Here is a 19,148-nt window from a genome sequence, read left to right on the forward strand (position 1 = left end):
CCCTGTTTGCAGATGACAAGATTGTATATTTAGAAAACCCCATCGTCTCAGCCCAAAATCTCCTTAAGTTGATAAGCAACTTCAGCAAAGTCTCAGGATACAAAATCAATGTGCAAAAATCACAAGCATTCCTATATACCAGTAACAGACAGAGAGCCAAATCTTGAGTGAACTCCCATTCACAATGGCTTCAAAGCAAATAAAATACCTAGGAATACAACTTGCAAGGGATGTGAAGGACCTCTTCAAGGAGAACTACAAACCACTGCTCAATGAAATAAAAGACGACACAAACAAATGGAAGAACATTCCATGCTCATGGATAGGAAGAATCAATATCGTGAAAATGGCCATACTGCCCAAGGTAATTTATAGATTCAATGCCATCCCCATCAAGCTACCAATGACTTTCTTCACAGAATTGGAAAAAACTACTTTAAAGTTCATATGGAACCAAAAAAGAACCCACATTGCCAAGACAATCCTAAGCCAAAAGAACAAAGCTGGAGGCATCATGCTACCTGACTTCAAACTATGCTACAAGGCTACAGTAACCAAAACAGCATGGTACTGGTACCAAAACAGAGACATGGACCAATGGAACAGAACAGAGCCCTCAGAAATAATGCCACACATCTACAACAATCTGATCTTTGACAAACCTGACAAAAACAAGAAATGGGGAAAGGATTCCCTATTTAATAAATGGTGCTGGGAAAACTGGCTAGCCATATGTAGAATGCTGAAACTTGATCCCTTCCTTACACCTTACACAAAAATTAATTCAGGATGGATTAAAGACTTAAATTTTAGACCTAAAACCATAAAAACTCTAGAAGAAAACCTAGACAATACCATTCAGGACACAGGCATGGGCAAGAACTTCATGACTAAAACACCAAAAGCAATGGCAACAAAAGCCAAAATTGACAAATGGGATCTAATTAAACTAAAGAGCTTCAGCACAGCAAAAGAAACTGCCATCAGAGTGAGCAGGTAACCTACAGAGTGGGAGAAAATCTTTACAATCTACCCATCTGACAAAGGGCTAATATCCAGAATCTACAAAGAACTTAAACAAAATTTACAAGAAAAAAATCAAACAACCCCATCAAAAAGTGGGCAAAGGATATGAATGGACACCTCTCAAAAGAAGACATTTACGCAGCCAACAGACACATGAAAAAATGCTCATCATCGCTGGCCATCAGACAAATGCAAATCCAAACCACAATGAGATACCATCTCACACCAGTTAGAATGGCGATCATTAAAAAGTCAGGAAACAACAGGTGCTGGAGAGGATGTGGAGAAATAGGAACACTTTTATTACACTGTTGGTGGGACTGTAAACTAGTTCAACCATTGTGGAAGACAGTGTGGCAATTCCTCAAGGATCTAGAGCTAGAAATACCATTTGACCCAGCCATCCCATTACTGGGTATATAACCAAGGGATTATAAATCATGCTGCTGTAAAGACACATGCACACTTATGTTTATTGTGGCACTATTCACAATAGCAAATACTTGGAACCAACCCAAATGTCCATCAATGATAGACTGGATTAAGAAAATGTGGCACATATACACCATGGAATACTATGCAGCCATAAAAAGGGATAAGTTTATGTCCTTTGTAGGGACATGGATGAAGCTGGAAACCATCATTCTCAGCAAACTATCGCAAGGACAGAAAACCAAACACGCATGTTCTCACTCATAGGTGGGAATTGAACAATGAGAACACTTGGACACAGGAAGTGGAACATCACACACTGGGGCCTGTAGTGGGGTGGCGGGAGCGGAGAGAGATAGCATTAGGAGATATACCTAATGTAAATGACGAGTTAATGGGTGCAGCACACCCACATGGCACATGTATACATACGTAACAAACCTGCACGTTGTGCACATGCACCCTAGAACTTAAAGTATAATAATAATAAAAAGAAAGACCTAGAGATGTAACTGTGCATATGGGAATGATTGGTTCTGATTATACTGGAGAAATTCAATTAGTTATTAGTTCTTCAACTCCGTGGTCTGCTTCCCTAGGAGAAAGAATTGCTCAGTTGTTGACATAAAGCTGGGAAGCAGTACAGTGAAAAGAACTGGAGGCTTTGGTAGCACTAATCCAACAGGAAAGGCTATATATTGGGTTAATCAAGTGTCTGACAAAAGACCTATTTGTACAGTAGACCTGCTGTTGGATGCTTACCGGTTGACACACAGGACTGGTTGTCAGTAGTCCCCAGAAAAAATAAATCATGGGCTGCTTTGCATAGGGCAAGTGAAGTCATCACGCTTCAGTTTCATGGTTAACCTACCTCTGCTACAGAAAAACGATTTAATCAGCACACAAGGAATGTGTTCATTGTGGTATTTGTGGCCTTTATGATGGGAATGTTCAACGTCTACTCCTACTACATTGGTGCAAAACAAAATGAAGCCTTCACAACAGAGTTTTAAGACACTGTTCTGGGCTATATTTGGACTTTCTGAAGTGAAATCAGTGGTCATCAGCTATAACCACAAATTCATTGCTATAATGTTCCAGGAAATTGAGGATGACGCTGATGTGGAGTGGAAATTTGCAAGGGCCAAACTCTTGTTTTCCTGCTTTGGGGCGGGGAGAGCACTTCCTGTTCCCTTCAATCTGGTGCAGGGTCCAGTGTCCCTGTTTTTCTCTTGGTGAAGCTTAAAGGGTGGATTTCTGAGCTCTACTCAGGGTCATAGAAAAGGTTTCCAGGAAAGATGCAGAGATAAGTAAGTAGAGATAAGTAGAGACAAGTAAGTAAGTAGAGATAAGTAAGTCTAAGTAGAGATAAGTAAGTACAGCTAAAGGAGATAAATATAGAGATAAATAGAGATAGAGATAGATAGAGATATAGATAGATAGAGATAAATAGAGATAGAGATAGAGACAGAGACTTGCAGGAACTCACAGGTACCACAGGGACAGATAGGGATAGATGAAGACTAGCAATATAAAATCAGTGCCCTAAAGAGGTACAAAAGCAAAGACTAGCAATATAAGGTCAGTGCCCTAAAGAGGTACAAAAGTAGAGGCTAGCAAAGACTAGCAGAGATTTGCAGGGACAGACGAGAACATTCTGAATTATGGAAATTAGCTATGGCTCAAAGGGCAAATATAAAAGGAATAGAGCGGGGGAAGGTAAGGATAAAAATGCTTTTTCTTTTTTCTCCAATAGGACTCTTTGGTCCTTTAAACTTAAAGGGCAGATGCATTGGTGTCTGTGGTCTTTGCTGATGCACAAGAATTCCATTCTTTAATATGAGGAAGAGGATTTGTTTGTGTCTCTCCAGGTGATGATCAGGTGCCTGTGTGGGTCCTCACCAAACATCTGAAGATCTGTCATGAGCCACAGCATCTAGTGGACCCACCTGTACAGTGCAAATTGAAGGTTTAAGGATTGCTTTTAAGCCTTGATTTGCTTTCCTGGTGCCTTCTGTTGGAAGGGCCTGTTTCTCAATATCAGTGGCCTCCCAGCTACAGCCACAACAGTTTTTGCTTCTGTTTCAGTAGATTTACTAATGTGGGGGTGAGGGTATGCTTGTGTTTTTGCAGGAGATGAACGAACCATGTGGATGCCCTCAAGACGTGTACGACCATGGAATGGGAGACTGGAGGGACCCATGGATCCTAAGCATGGACTGGGTTCCCCAGTACGAGCCATGAGCCAGCTGAATCTGAATGAGAAGATGGAACGAGGACCGACCGGAGTCTTGATGCTTAACAGACCAATGCTTTCTGGCTGAGCTCCTCTCTACCCTGAATACAGAAACCCTAATAGTTAGGCAGGAGTATCATCACCCCTATTCAGCATGAAGAAGTTACAGAAGATGGACCTTCATCCTTCTGCAACCCCTAGGATTAAGGGTCCTGTAAAAGGGAAAGCGGAGATATGTGGGAAGCACTCAAACCAGAGTGACTCCGGTTTGAATAAGGGCTAAGAAAAATGAAGCTGGATCACCAACCGGCAATTAAGGGCTGCACAGCCTGCAATCACCTTGCTAATGATAGCTAGTAATAATACTTTCTCTTTTACAAAAAAGAGAAGGGGGGCATGTTAGGAAAAAGCTGAGTGTTGGGAGAAACTGAGGCAGGGCTTGCATATCTGACATAATGTCCTCTGGAATGTGTCTAGCCTTGCTGGCTCCTTGCTTCTAGCCTTCCTAGGCTCCTACTCCCATTATCTCAAGTAGCAAAACATGTTCCATATAAACGCTAAACCATCACAGCTGTAAATCATGTGCTTAATGCAACATGTCCTTTTGACCTCCACATTCTCACCACATGTTTCTTTGTTGGACTGCCAATAAATAGCATGGGCTCCCAGAGCTCAGGGCCTTCACAGCCTCCACAATGGCGATGGCCCCCTGGTGTCCCACCTTTCTCTTTCAAACCTATTTCTCAATCCTTTGACTCCACCAGACTTTGTCACCCCCATGACCTGGTGTTGGGTCTGATCACCCCAACAGACAATAGATTTGGAAAGAAAACAGAGCTTCTTGGTTCTGGCTGCACTGGAGAAATTTGAAAAAGTACCAGTGCCCAGGCCCTCTACCCCAGAGAGTGTCAATGAATTGGTCTGGGCGTGTTGGAATCAACTGAGAGCTTTTACACAGCACCACTGCCCAGGCCCCACCTGAGCCCCATTAAATTAGAAATGCTGGGGGCGGGGCCCAGGCACTGACGTATTTTGAAGCTTCCCCAGTTGAATTGATTCTAGCTGGAACTGAGAACCATTCCCATCTCCACCCCACAGAAGGACAAAGGAAGGCCATCTGGGCTGGAATGGAGTTGGGAGAAGGCAGAGGCATGGTCTCATAGAAAGGGGGACAGCTGAGTGGGGTCATTCCCTAAACCTGTCACATCTGTATAAATCCTATCATTAATCTCTCCTTAATATGTAAACTACACTTACTATAGCTAATTTAATAAATGGAGGTGTTCTCAACATCTTCCTCCAAAAGCAAAAAACAAAAGCAGCTTTCGTCAGTTACCTTGTGTGAATGTCACCTGCTTCCTGCCAGATCCTGACTGATGTGCTGTGTTAGGCACCTGGTTGCAAAAAAATCAGAGGTGGTCTGGTTGCCATGAGCATGTGGTATAAGACAACATCTGGACAAGAGCTGGACTTGAAAGCTGTTCACGAGCCTAAGTTTAGAAAACGCTTCTGCCACCAACCGTCATTTCCCATGCCTCTCTCAGACCAGAATGGCCACATCTTCCTGTGCTGCTTTTGGCTCTGTTCTCTCCATGCCCATTACCTGCCCCAAATCTGCAGCCCAAATGCCAGCAGAGCACCAGTGTCTGGCCAGCTTCCACCTCAGGTCCTGGTGGGTATGGCGCAGTGGACACCACACCCACCTCCACCCAGAACAGTGCCTTGTGGCTTCCCTGGGTAGAGGACTTCAGACAGGGTAATGTCAGCAAAAAGGGAACAACACGTGGGACTGTAAGTCCAATTAAATCTCTTTCTTTTGTAAATTGCCCAGTCTTGGGTATGTCTTTATCAGCAGCATGAAAACAGACTAATATAATGAATGTCCCGGGATGGTAGATTCCAAACTGTGCTCCTTGAAACCCCTAGGACTTTAGATTTAAATCAGATCCATGAAGTGGCCCAAGAGGATCTTCAGAAACTTAGGAGGGAGTTTAAAGCTGAAAAATTGTAAAAGCCATTCTCCTAAATCAGTGAGCTTTAATGATTCAAAGGAACTTAAAAATTATATCATCAAACATTTTTACTTTCAGGTAAAGAAACCATGGACAGGTCTTGTTTCCCAGGACCTTCTGACAGAGCCTCTACTGATTTTGAGTACAGTCCACGGGTCCAAAGGAGGAAGGATGGACTGGCTGCTGGCCTGCCAATGGCAGGGGTTCATGTGGCTTGGTCTACCTTACCAGTGTCCAGGTTGAACCCTTAATCACTAGTGTAATTCCTCAGTCAAGCCTATGTAAATCCAAGTGCTTATATAAAAATAAGTTATTTCAAATCAGCTTGCGACATCATGATGATGATGATGATGATTACTATTATCATTATTGAAACAGGGTCCTGCTCTGTTGCCCAGGCTGGAGTGCCAGAGGCATGATCTCAACTCACTGCAGCCTCCACCTCCTGGGCTCAGAAGATACTCCCACCTCAGCCTCCTGAGTAGCTGGGACTATAGATGTGTGCCTTCACACCCAGCTAATGTTGGCCAGGCTGGTCTGGAATTCCTGGACTCAACCAATCCACCTCCCTCAGCTTTCCAAAGTACTGGGATTATAGGCATGAGCCACCACACCTGACCCAATTACTTTTAATAATAATAGTGCTTGTGGTGTTGATTAACATTAGGGAACACCATGATTAGAAGGACCCTCTGAAAGGCCCCAGGCAATGATTTTGAACCTTCTCTTTGGGCATGCACTATTTTCAGAAGCTGATGAAAACTCTGGAGCTTCCTCCCAGAAAAATGAATATACTTCAGACACATTCCATCTGTCCCAAAATTTCAGGGGTGTATAGACTCCTTGAAGCCCATACTTGAACTCCAGATTAAGTATTTGTGTTCTTCAGCATACACCCTGGGCAGAATTTTTCATCTGTCTTTGACAGAAGATCCAGATGGCAAAAACTTCATGGTTCACCTTTCCATCTGCCTGGTACACATCTTTTTATTTTAAACTTATTTATCTCATTAACACAGATGTAAAACAACAGTAACAACCCCTTGTTATGCTAGAAAAGGAAATAAGGAGACTTGAGTCACGTAGCCGATACACATGGATAGGAGGGCACTTTTCCTGTCATTAGTACCAAGATGATTGAGGTCCTCTCATCCCAGGCAAAGGGTGAAATGCACAAACCTAACAGCACTTTTTGCTCAGTTACTCTGTGACCTATTCCTGATTTTAGATGCAGGTAAACTAACTCCTGAAAATGGACATTTAGTATTCATATATATACTAAATATTTAAGGTATGTGACCATCAGAGGTAATTTCATTACAACAAAGCATAAAGGAAAACATTTTTCAAAAATACAGGAAAATATACATAGTGTGAGTTTCTCCAAGCCTTAAGAGGATGTGAGGAGCCTTAGGGGGTCACAGTAGCAGTTATAATTCTTGTTCCTACCTGCTACTGCGAGACTTCCAACTTCTTGCAAATTTCTCTCCAAACATTTCTCTTCCCAGGGAGTGTCTCAGCGCTAGTGGTGCTGGACATGATGTCCTACACCATTATTTCCACCAGGTGGCAGCGCTATGTCAACAGGCACTGCCTTCAATTTCCGTAGGGAACCTTCCTCCCAGTGAGACAAAGAAAGCCTTTCTCCCTCTGCATTACTATCAGAGAGTCCCTAAAGAGACTAAAGTTTTGTTTTGCTTTGTTTTGTTTTGAGAGTACAGCTTGTTCAGCCCTCGTCTCTCCATAGGTATCAGACAGGCCCCTGAAAGCCAAATCGGAGACAAGCCAACTGGGCTGTCTTCAGAATTGCCTTGCCCTTCTAATGACAAAGGGCATTTTCTCCCTGATTTGAGGTTAGAAAAAAAAAGAAGACAAAGATGACAGGCTTTGCTGCTGGCTCTTCTCACCACCGGGTTGGTTGAGAGCTTGAGAATAAGACAAAGCTTGGGTGAGTCCAATCTCTGCCACTCGCTAGCTATGAGACTTTAGGCAGAGTAACCTCTCCAAGCCTCTGTTTCCTCATCTGTAAAATGAGGAGAATGATGGTCCCTACTTCATAGGGCTAATGTACAGATTAAATGAGAGTCTAGCATAATCTCTGGTACATGAGATGCATGTAATCAATACTAGAGCTTATTATGATAACCATGTAGACCTACAGAAGTGATACAATTGCTAACAGTGGTTATTTCTGGTGGCAGGATCAGAGACGATTTTTAATTTCTTCTTTGTTTTTCCAAATTCTCTTCAGCACGCATGCATTGCTTTTATAATCATGAAAAGACGCAATTAAAATATAATAGATTGCTGATCCCCTGTTCTTGATGATTCCTCTGAAACATTCAAACTTTCTCTGTGACTCAATGAGCTCCCCAAGGCTGGGCCTATATCTTATCTACTTTGGAGTCTTTGACATGAAACACATAATTTGACACACAGTAGGCAATCAATACTCATTTCCTGAAAAAAATCTCAAAGGCAATTACTTCAGGTTTTAATTTCTCAGTGTAACTAAACATCTTTTTTTCCTCCAAGAATTCTCTTTTCTCACTTAGATTCAATTGCTAATCCTTTTGCCAAATTAATTAAATCCTCTCCAGATTCTCCCCAGTCAAATTCCTTAGACTATTGAGTTGGTTTTAGGCGGTGACATGGTTTGTCTGTGTCCCCACCCAGATCTCATTGTGAATTGTAGCTCCTATACTTCCCTTGTGTCATGGGAGGTAATTGAATCATGGGGGCGGGTCTTTCCCGTGCTGTTCTCGTGACAGTGAATGAGTGTCACAAGATCTGATGGTTTTTTAAAGGGGTGTTCCCCTACACAAACTCTCTCTTCCCTGCTGCCATGCAAGATGTGACTTTGCTTCTCATTCGCCTTCCACCATGATTGTGAGGCCTCCCAAGCCATGTGGAACTATAAAGGAAACCTCTTTCCTTTATAAACTACCCAGTTTCGGGTATGTGTTTATTAGCAGCTTGACAACAGACTAATACAGGCAGGTTTCCAGAAAGCATTTTACCTGAGTTCCCAGAATTCATGCTGGGGGGTGTACGGGGAGAGAGGTGGGAGATGGTCATGGGTGGTTAGATCATTGATTTGAGATCAAATCTTTTCAGTAGCTAAATGAAGACCTAAGAGCCAGAATAACCTAGATTATATAAAGAGATTATAAAAGGAAATAGGCATTTCTAAAAATGTATTACATTTAAAATTGAAACCCATAATGAAGAGGATGATTGTTTTTTACCTGTGGATAGAACACAGGGTTACTGATGATTACACTTGGCTATTGCTGTCATTTGGTTCTTTTGATCTTCACTTTGAGTCAATGGAACTGTTCAGGCATTCTGTAAGGAGGACAGACACCAGCGTGACACTGCCTCAGCATTTCTTCTACAAAAGAAAAGTCAAAATAAATGACATTAGCCCATAGCAGCTGATATATTTTAATTCTTTCCTCATATTATTAACAAACATGAGACTTTCTCTTTCCAGGGAAGTTGGATCTGTATGGGAATCCAAAGATAATTACAGCTGAGCCATCCTGAGATAGAGCCCCTGAGAGGCATAGAAATCTCCAAAGTGGCCTCTTTTTACACAGATTGTGGATATTCAGTTCTTCCTTTGGTCCCATGTTACAAACTAGATTATTCTTTGCTTTAGATATCCAACCATTCAGACTCCTAGCTGAGTCTTACAAGTTTCTAGCTCAGGAGGGAGTTGTTGGGTGGCAGGGGGTGGCTCTGTGGTTGCTGGTTATGTGGGGAACATGTGGGAAGTGCAAGGAGAAAGGAAAGCTCCGGGCTTGCACACGTCAGTCAGGGCTGGTTCCTGTTCCTGTAACCTAAGATTTCTGTTGACATGGTGCCAATTCCCTGGCAGGCATGCAGAGAAGCCTCTGTTCTCTCTGCCGCGCTGTGGCGTCTCACCTAGACACCTGGCCCCTGAAGCAGAGATCTGTCTGCTGCCACCACAGCTCCTCTCTCCAGACTGTTCAGATCTGGTCCCTGTAGGATGGAAGTGCACACACTGTCTCTGCCTGTCCCCAGGGAGCAAGATGTAAACTTCCTCCTTCATCATTCGGGCAAAAACTGAATAAATAGATGAACACCAAATTATGGAAATCTTCATTATGCAGGCCAGGTTGCCAAACATGCCCAGACCTGCTTAAGCTGAGAAGTAAAGGCTGATCAAGCTCACATGTAAAATCCTGGGTTATAAGAAAAATTCCAGCTGACTTGGAACACAGCCCCAACTCCTCCCACATGACCAGCAAAGAGCTGGTCCAGGAAAAATTCCACTTGTTTGGCCGGGTGTGGTGGCTCACGCCTGTAATCCCAGCACTTTGGGAGGCTGAGGCAGGTGGATCACGAGGTCAAGAGATCAAGACCATCCTGGCCAACATGGTGAAACCCCGTCTCTACTAAAAATACAAAAAATTAGCTGGGCATGGTGGCGGGCACCTGTAGTCCCAGCTACTTGGGAGGCTGAGGCAGGAGAATCACTGGAACCCGGGAGGCGGAGGTTGCAGTGCACCAAGATTGCGCCACTGCACTCCTGCCTGGCGACAGAGTGAGACTCCGTCTCAAAAAAAAAAAAAAAAAAAAATTCCACTTGTTCAAAGATGAGTCATCAAAAAGGAAGACATGCAGGATCTCTGCAAATGTAGGAAAGGGATAGGAAAAACCAATGGCAGATGTGGAATACTCACCAGGAAGAGGCTGCCATGGAGCAGACACCGGTCATAACCAAGCAATTACCAGGCACTTAAAAACTTAATGAAATGGTCGCCTTTAAGAAGGAAAAGGATAAAGTGAGCTCAGGGAAATGATGTTAAGATATCAGAAGGTGGAACATGAGCTCAGAAGAAAAGTGGAAAAAGAAAAGAAAGGCAACTAGGACTAGTCAGGGTTCTCCAAAAAAACAGAACTAATACGATATCTATCTATCTGTTATTTTGTGTGTGCATATAAAATATATATAATATTATATGTGTGTGCGTGTGTGTGTGTATATATATATATATATGTATGTATATTCTAGAGGAAGAGAGAGAGTGAGATTTATTTTAAGGAATGGGCTGCCATGATTATGGAGGCTGGCAAGTCCAAAATCTGCAGGGTGGGGGCTGGCAGGCTGGAGACCCAGGAGAGCCACTGTTTCAGTTCAAGTGCAAAGTTCATGTGCTGGCAGAATTCCTTCTTGCCTGGAAGAGGTCAGTCTTTTGTTCTATTTAGGCCTCCAATTGATTGGTTGAGGACCATCCACATTAGGTAGAGTCATCTGCTTTACTCAAAGTCCAATGATTTAAATGTTAATCTCATCCAAAAACACCCTCACAGAAACATCCAGAGTAATGTTTGACCAAATATCTTAGTCTCATGACCCAGCCAAGTTGACACGTAAAATTTAACCATCTTACCTAACCAAACCAATGCAATGATGATTCAAATCAAATTTAACAACAAATTCCAAACTAGAGTGACCTGCTCCCCTTTGGATTGTCTCTTTGAAAGGGAGAGGCCATGAATGTCCTTCCATCAGGGATGAGGGTCTTTGCTCCCTACATTGCCTCCTGTAGTCACTGGCAATGATATCAGTGAATCTAAACTCCCATGAGTGGGTCATAATGAATACTAGACTGATATTAGATTTTATCCTAGCTATCTGAAATAGGAATGACTGGTCTCCCTTGCCCCCAGAACTTTTAGACAGTTGGTTGAGCCCGGGACCCTGGGGACATGGGTGAGATCAATATGGCAGACTTGCTGCACTGTATTGCTTGAAGTCCTGTCAATAGCAGCCTTAATTTTAAATGTGATAGGAATCAAATTAAACAGATTTGGTCCCTCTGTTGGTCAGACTAATCAGAGCAGCTGATGAGGTAGCATACTCATGGGAAAATGTGAATTTGGCCAAGGATCTGTCAGGCCTTGTGGTGGATTTTTGTGACAGGCAATTTGCCACAGGCTCTGATTGTCTCTGCATGCTCTTGCTGGGGATGACAAGAATGCAAGGTCCTGACTGTTCCTTGCTTGGGATATTTCTCAGGGTTGTGTTTGCAGTAGACAGCCTTGACAAAGCAATATCCCCCTGCCCCAGACAAAGGGCAGACTTGCTCACCACTTACTATTAAATTGTATGTTCCCAAGCTCAGTGTTCCTTAGCTGCAGTACAAACACACTGCGTGTACAGTAACCACCTGGGCCCCTCCACATCACCCCTGTGGGACTTGGGGACAAGGAAAACCAATGCTAACTAACACAAACCTCGTGCAACTTGTTCTGCCATGAGTAGTGTAGTCCTTTGTCTCTGATCCAGTCTCATGTCATCTGCCAGCATCCATGAAACCATAACAGGCTTACTAGCTTGTAAGATGGGCAAAATTCCCGACTTTCACAGATTCCAACACACATGACCCAAGTAGGGCCAATCAGGGATTCTTCCCAAAGATACTTCCTCAAGAGCACTTCCCCAGAGTTCTTTCCCACTGATAGATGGGTGATGGGAAAATGCCATCCATTTTATCTCTCTCTCCTTCTTCCCTTTATCAGTTTATATACAAGTTGTTGGAGGTTAGCTTTACAATTTGGTCTTTTGGTAACAGAATATTTAGAGGGACTGTGATCAAATTCGAGTAATGAATATAGCCAGAGATAGATAAAATTGTTGTTGGCACGAGTATCTTCTCATTTGGGAGAAAGGGTAGGAATATTTTCCCTGGTAAGAAGGATAGCTGTATTTTGTTCGTTGTCATATAGAAGTTCAGGTATGTGTAGGAGGGTGCATATGGAAACTGAGTAGCCAAAGGGGTGGGCTGTGACAGTTATCACTTTAGAGCCTCTGAATTCCAAATCCACTCTTCGTTATCCTCCTTTGTGATACTGGAGATGAATCCTGTAAACATTTCTTTGCCTGCTAGCACGATATTAAGTGCTGTCAATGGAGGGCTCTGGAGAGACACTGCAGGAAGAAGAGGCTACCTTCCTTTCCTCTTGCTCCTGCTCTTGACTGGTGCATGGGGCACCCAGGGATGCTCCTCCTGGTGATTTCCTGAGGAGTTCTGCTAGCACCTCAGTCAGCTCTCCAGCAAATTCAACAGCAACCCCACAGGCAGGTTTTCACCAAACGCTGCTGAAGCCCCGGATGGTGGCATAGTGTGTCTCATAAATGCTCCAGCAGTTGGCTCCCCGGAGTTTCAGTAACATACCACGGGTGAAGTCCTAGTGAATGCCTGCACCTCAGAGGGCAGCTTCTCAGTGAGTGTTGTCAGCCCCCACCCTGCTGCCCCCACCGGTGCATGGGTTTCTTGCATGCCAGCCCGGCCTCAAGCACTACAACAAACTTCTCTGCCATCCTGCGGGCTCTAGCCACACCATCTCCAATGGCATCTGAGTCTCATTCCTGCGGAGACCTTTTTCCAAGTTGGTTCCTTCCTTGGGTTCTCTGCTTCAGCCCTAGACCTAGTGCCTGCCCCTATATCCACGATTCCTGTTTTTTCTTTGTTTGTTTGTTTGTTTGTTGTTTTTGAGATGGAATCTCACTCTATTGCCCAGGCTGGGGTGCAGTGGCACGATCTCGGCTCACTCCAACCTCCACCTCTCAGGTTCAAGCGATTTTCCTGCCTCAGCCTCCAGAGTAGCTGGGATCACAGGCATGTGCCACCACACCCAGCTCATTTTTGTATTTTTAGTAGAGACAGGGTTTCACCATGTTGGCCAGGCTGGCCTGTATTTTTTTTTTTTTTGTGGTAAAACATACATAACATTTATCATTTTAACCACTTTTAAGTGTACAATTCAGTGACATTAGATACATTCACAATGTTTTGCAGCCATCACCACTATCTATTTCCAAAACTTTTCTATCAGTCCAAGGTGAAACTCTATACCCATTGTAATAGTCTGTTCTCACGCTGCTATAAAGATACTACCTGAGACTGGGTAATTTATGAAGAAAAGAGGTTTGATTGATTCACAATTCTGTGTGCCTGGGGAAGCCTTGGGAAACACTCTCATGGTGGAAGGTGAAGGTAAGCAAGGCAGATCTCTTCACAAAGTGGCAGGAGAGAGAGAAAAAGAGAGACAGAAGGGAGCCACATACTTTTAAACCATCGAATCTCATGAGAACTCACTCACTATCACAAGAATCACCTCCATGATCCAATCATCTCCCACCAGGTCCCTCCCTTGACATGGGATTACAATTTGAGATGAGATTTGGGTGGGGACCCAGAGCCAAACCGTATCACCCATTAAACAATAACTTCCCATTCTCCCCTTCCTCCAGCTCCTGAAAACCTCCATTCCGCTTTCTGTCTTTATGGATTGACTATTCATGGTACATTGTATAAGTGGCACCATATAATATTTGCCCTTTTGAGTCTGGCTTATTTCATTTTGCATAATGTCTTCAAGGTTTATCCATGGGGTAGCATGTATCAGAATTTCATTCCATTTTATGGCAGAATAACATTTCATTTTGTTTATCCATTCACCTGTTTCTGTAACCTTTAGACTTCTTTTTATCCCTTAGTGGCTAACCCTCTATTATTAGTTCATGATTATTTATATTACACTTTCCCTGTTGACATTGTATAGCTCCTCTCTCCTGCCTGATACATCTGTCTTAGGAAACTGCCTTTCCATCCTTGTGACTGATGGGGCCAATCATGGAACCTCATTTCCCTCACCATATATTGTATTGGCCCATCACTCTGATAATAGTGCTGTGTGCCAGGGTAGGTACACAACCAACCAAAAGCAATCCCATGCCTTCCCCAGGATGGAAAGATGAGTACTGGGAAAAGGCTTTTCACTGGGATTGCCACACTGGGGTTCTTGAGGCCACATTCTTAGATACGTTTAGGGGCTCATCTTGTGGTGGGAGAAATTGAGGCCAACAGGCAAAGAGCAATACAGATGAAAGTGAAAAATGGAGAGGTTTCTCATATACCTGGAGAAAGTGCAGCACGAGAAGAAGGTTAAAATTTAAGGAAGTGAGAGCACAAATAAGAGAGTGAGAAAGAGCAGCTGGATGTACAGAGGACACATCAGGAGATAGCGGATCATGATACCATGAAAATCAGACTGTCAAGGCAGCATTTTCTAAAAGAAGGGATGAGTAAAAGTAGGCTGGAAAATGCCACTGGCTTGGGCACTAGGTTGTGGTTGACCTTGGTGACAGCAGAGGCAGCAGAGGCCCGGCATGGCCTGGCCTCGGTGCCTCTCCATGGCCATCTCCGGCACCCTGGAGATGCCATCCTCTGGCCATACTTGCCATTTCACGGAGCTGCCACAGCTCTCAAGCTTCTCCATTTTCCTTGACCCATCCCAGTTTGTCCTCTTGACCAACTCTGACTGATTCTCCAAAATTCAGCTCAACCTTAGGTCTCCAGGTCAGTTTCTCCCAAAGAGGAGGAGATGCTCCCCACCCAGCCCTTTGTGTGTCCCTTCCTTTGATGACGTGTGATTACACTGTTTACTGTAAATGTCTGCCTCCTCCTCCAGTCTATGAGCTCCTTAAAAACAAGGACTTAGCCTTTTGCATCTTTGTATTCCAAGCACTCAGCCCAGGGCCTGGCTCTGAAATGAGCTCAGTGCATATTAATGGATCAATGCCTGGAGGGACACACCCGCTGATCTGATCCTTTTTTAGAAAAACACGATCTGGTTGCCATGGCGCTGAAAGAGCGCTTTCTATACCTGCTGTTTTCAGGATGAGCAAATCACTTTCAGCTGACCACACTGTGGCATCTGGCCAGCAGGATCTGCAGAATCCAGCAGGATGGATGCTGAGCCAACTCTGAGATGGAAGAGACACTTTTCCTCCTTCCGAGCAGGTAAACTATTGAGTAACATCAAAGAATTTCATTTTTTCTACCCCTGGAAGATTTAAAGGGCTCCTCTTTTGTCAATATCCCCCTAGCTCTCCTGCCAGTTTTCTCTCACCTCCTGTACAGTTTTTCTGTCTCCTTATCTGCTGCTACTCTAAGACAGGGCTTTAGCCTATAGGCCAAATCTGGCCCACCACCTGTTTTTGCAAATAAAGTTTTATTGGAAGACAGCCATACCCATTTGTTTACATATTGTCTATGGCTGCTTATACTCTACAATGGTAGAGCTGTGGCAGAGATTGCATGCCTGCAAAACTGAACATATTTACTATCTGGCCCCTTGCAAAAAATAAAAAGTTTTCTGACGGTATACTAGAGAATGAGCTTCAGCTGATAAGAGATGATAAGGAAATAGTGCAACTCAAAAATGGGACAAGGGAAATAGAGAAAAACGGAATATGCCCCTAGATTGTTGTATGAGCAATGGATGGGAGATGAAGAATACTGCAGTATTTATAAACCAGATAGTAAAAGCTTAAACAAGAAAATAAGAGTAAGAGCCAAGGGAGGCTGAGGTGAGAGGATTGCTTGTGCGCTGGATCGCCTGACTGAGACCATCCTGGGCAACACAGGGAGACACCATTTCTACAAAAAATACAAAAAAATTAGCTTGTTGTGGTGGCACATGACTGTAGTCCCAGCTACTCAGGTGGCTGAGGTGGGAGGACTTACTGAGCCCAGGAGGCCAAGGCTTTGATGAGCCAGGATCATGCCATTATACTCCAGCCTGGGCAAAGAGCAAGACCCTGTCTTAAAAAAAAAATTAAGAGCATTTTAAAAAGTGTACATATAAAATAACCACTGGAATAAAATTACAAACCTTTATAAATATAATTTTTAAAGTAAAAAAAAATACATTGCATGGCAATACAATTGCCATGCAGATACATGCAATACAATTGCATAGCAGATACAATACATGATCAATATAAAGTAATGTGGCAGAATGGAGACCCAATATATCAGTTGTATCAGTAAATATGAGAGGACTCATAAAAAGAAAACATTTTTAATTTGACTCATCCTCATCAGCCTTCTTGGCTAGAACTCCCCATTCTCTCTTGAACCCATCCAGTCAGGCTCCAGTTCTCACCACCCCCACAGAAACAACTCTTATCAAGATAACCAATGGCTTTCAAAGTTTCTATTGCTCTCTTCCCAGTCCTTATTTTTCCAAGTCTCGCAGCAGCAGTTGACAAAGGTGATCCTGTTCTCCCCATCAAAAACTGTTTCTTTACTAATTTCTGGGATAGCACCTCTCCTGGTACAGGGGAAGGAAGGAAGACTTCCTTCCCAGAGACTTCTCAGAGTTTTTTACTGGATTCTTCTCCTCTTCCTGATCTAATCGAAGGTTGGATTCTCCCAGGTCTCCTTCCATGGACCTCTTCTCTTTCCTCTCTTCACTTTTTCTCATAGTATCTTCCATCATTCCCTTGGCTTTCATGGACAGGGTGATGATCTCCAGATTTGTATCCCAGACCCTGAGGTCTTCCCTGAGCTTTAGACTCACAGACCCAACTGTCTACTCAGCTTGGCATCAGCATCCATCCTGCTGGATTCTGCAGATCCTGCTGCCCAGATGCCACAGTGTGGTCTGTTTGGGTACAGACTAGCCATCTCAAACCTAATGTATTCAAAGCTAAATTACTGATTTGTCGTTCCTGGTTTGTTTCCTCTACAGTCTTCCCCATCTCAGGAAGCAGCAGCACCATTCACCTCGTTGCTTGGTTGAACAGGGGGAGTCTTCCTTGACCCCTCTCTCTCAGATAATTTCTCAGTAAGTCCTGTTGGCTCTGGCCTAGCACAGTGGCTCAGGCCTGTAATTCCAATGCTTTGGAAGGCCAGGGCAGGCAGAAGGCTTGAGCCCAGAAGTTCAAGACCAGCCTGGGTAACATGGTGAGACCCATATCTCCATAAATACAAAAATTAGCTGGGTGTGGTGGCATGCACCCATAGTCCCAGCTGCTTGGGAGGCTGAGAGGTGGGAGGATACCTTGATCCAGGAGGTCAAGGCTGCAGTGAGCCATGATTGCACCAGTGCACTACAGCCTGGGCAACAAGCGAGACCCAGTCTAAAAAAAAAAGTCCTGTTAGCTCTAACTTGATCACTCTCTAATCTGCCCCACCAAGATCTCTGAGGGCCGAGCCACCCTCCTGTCTGGTCTGGGCTACTCCTGTAGCCTCCTAACTGGCTGCCCCTCACCTCTACTTCTGCCCCCTGCTTTTTTCCTCCACACTTCAGCCAACGGGATGATTCTAAAATGCGGGTCAGATCACACCACCCCTCCTCAAAACCCTCCAACTGCTTCCCATCCACACTTACAGGAAAATCTAAAGAACTCAATGTGACTTACACAGCCCTGTATGTTCTGGCCCCTGCCTCTCTCTCCAGCCTCATTTACTACTTTTCCCTCTCCTTCACCACATTCCAGAGGCCCTGGCTTCTTTCCTGTTTCCAGGACACGCCAAACACAGTCCTGCCTCAGGGCAGTTTGCTGTCTGGAAGAGCCTTGCCCAGGCCTCAGTAAGGTTCTATGCTCACTGCATTCAGCTCTCTGCTCTTCTGAGGGGTCCTCATGACAATCACAAACAAAACAGCACCGCTTCACTCGCTGCACTCAAACATTGCTTCACGTTTCCATAGTGCTCATCACCGCTTGCCAGTACATTGTATTAAATAGTTCTGAGTTTTTTTTTTTTTTTTCTTTTGAGATGGAGTCTCACTCTGTTGCCCAGGCTGGAGTGCAGCGGTGCAATCTCGGCTCACTGCTACTTCTGCCTCCCGGGTTCAAGCAATTCTCCAGCCTCAGCCTCCCGAGTAGTTGGGACTATAGGCAACCGCCACCATGCCCAGCTAATTTTTTGTATTTTTAGTAGAGACGGGGTTTCACCATGTTAGCCAGGATGGTCTCAATCTCCTGACCTCAAGATCTTCCTGCCTCGGCCTCCCAAAGTGCTGGGATTACAGGTGTGAGCCACCACACCCGGCCCAGGGTTGTTTTTGAGATGGGATCTGTCACTCAGGTTGAAGTCCAGTGTCACAACCTCAGCTCACTGCAACCTCTGCCTCCCAGGCTCAAGAGATCCTTCCACCTCAGCCTCCCAAGTTGCTGAGACCACAGGCATGTGCTACCACACCTGGTTAATTTTTTATGTTTTTGTTAGAGATGGGATTGTTGCCCAGGCTGGTCTTGAACTCCTGAGCTCAGGTGATCCACCTGCCTTGACCTCCCAAAGTGCTGGGATTACAGGTGTGAGCCACCATGCCCAGCCTAAACACTTTCATTTGTCTTTCTCTCCTCTAAAATATAAACTCCCTAAAGTGATGACTTTGTCTTACTCACTACTCTATTCTCAATATGTGGCACAGTGCCTGAAAAATAGCATGCGCTCAATAAATAATTGTTGAATGAATGAATGAATGGAGACATGGTCCTATTTTGGCCTGTGATTCAATGTTTCCAAATTCCTGACAGATTTTAATCTTTGGGAATTAGGAATGAGAAACCAAAATGTATAGGCAGTCCAGGGAATTTCTGAACTCCT

The 19,148-nt window shown here is 44.1% G+C and overlaps 1 long non-coding RNA gene and 1 pseudogene across 1 annotated transcript in view, besides 1 other annotated feature; one reads left to right on the forward strand and one right to left on the reverse strand.

Annotated features, from left to right (window-relative positions):
* On the forward strand, positions 2,372–2,750 carry TRPC6P10 (TRPC6 pseudogene 10; annotated as a pseudogene).
* The window catches only part of GARS1-DT (GARS1 divergent transcript), a 29,423-nt gene continuing 16,950 nt past the window's right edge, over positions 6,676–19,148 (reverse strand). The window contains exons 6-7 of the long non-coding RNA NR_038889.1: positions 10,419–10,498; positions 6,676–9,100 (exon numbers count right to left, since the gene is read on the reverse strand). This is a non-coding gene — a long non-coding RNA (GARS1 divergent transcript). The remainder of the gene's footprint in view (positions 9,101–10,418; positions 10,499–19,148) is intronic.
* Positions 7,008–7,509: an enhancer, noted in NCBI's record as "OCT4-NANOG-H3K27ac hESC enhancer chr7:30588305-30588806 (GRCh37/hg19 assembly coordinates)". NCBI's record gives its function as "activates a minimal SCP1, AML or CMV promoter by ChIP-STARR-seq in naive H9 embryonic stem cells {active_cell/tissue: H9 hESC(naive)}" and the evidence as "EXISTENCE:reporter gene assay evidence [ECO:0000049][PMID:30033119]".

Source organism: Homo sapiens, chromosome 7 (assembly GCF_000001405.40).
Source record: "Homo sapiens chromosome 7, GRCh38.p14 Primary Assembly".
In the NCBI taxonomy this organism is placed as follows: Eukaryota; Metazoa; Chordata; class Mammalia; order Primates; family Hominidae; genus Homo; species Homo sapiens.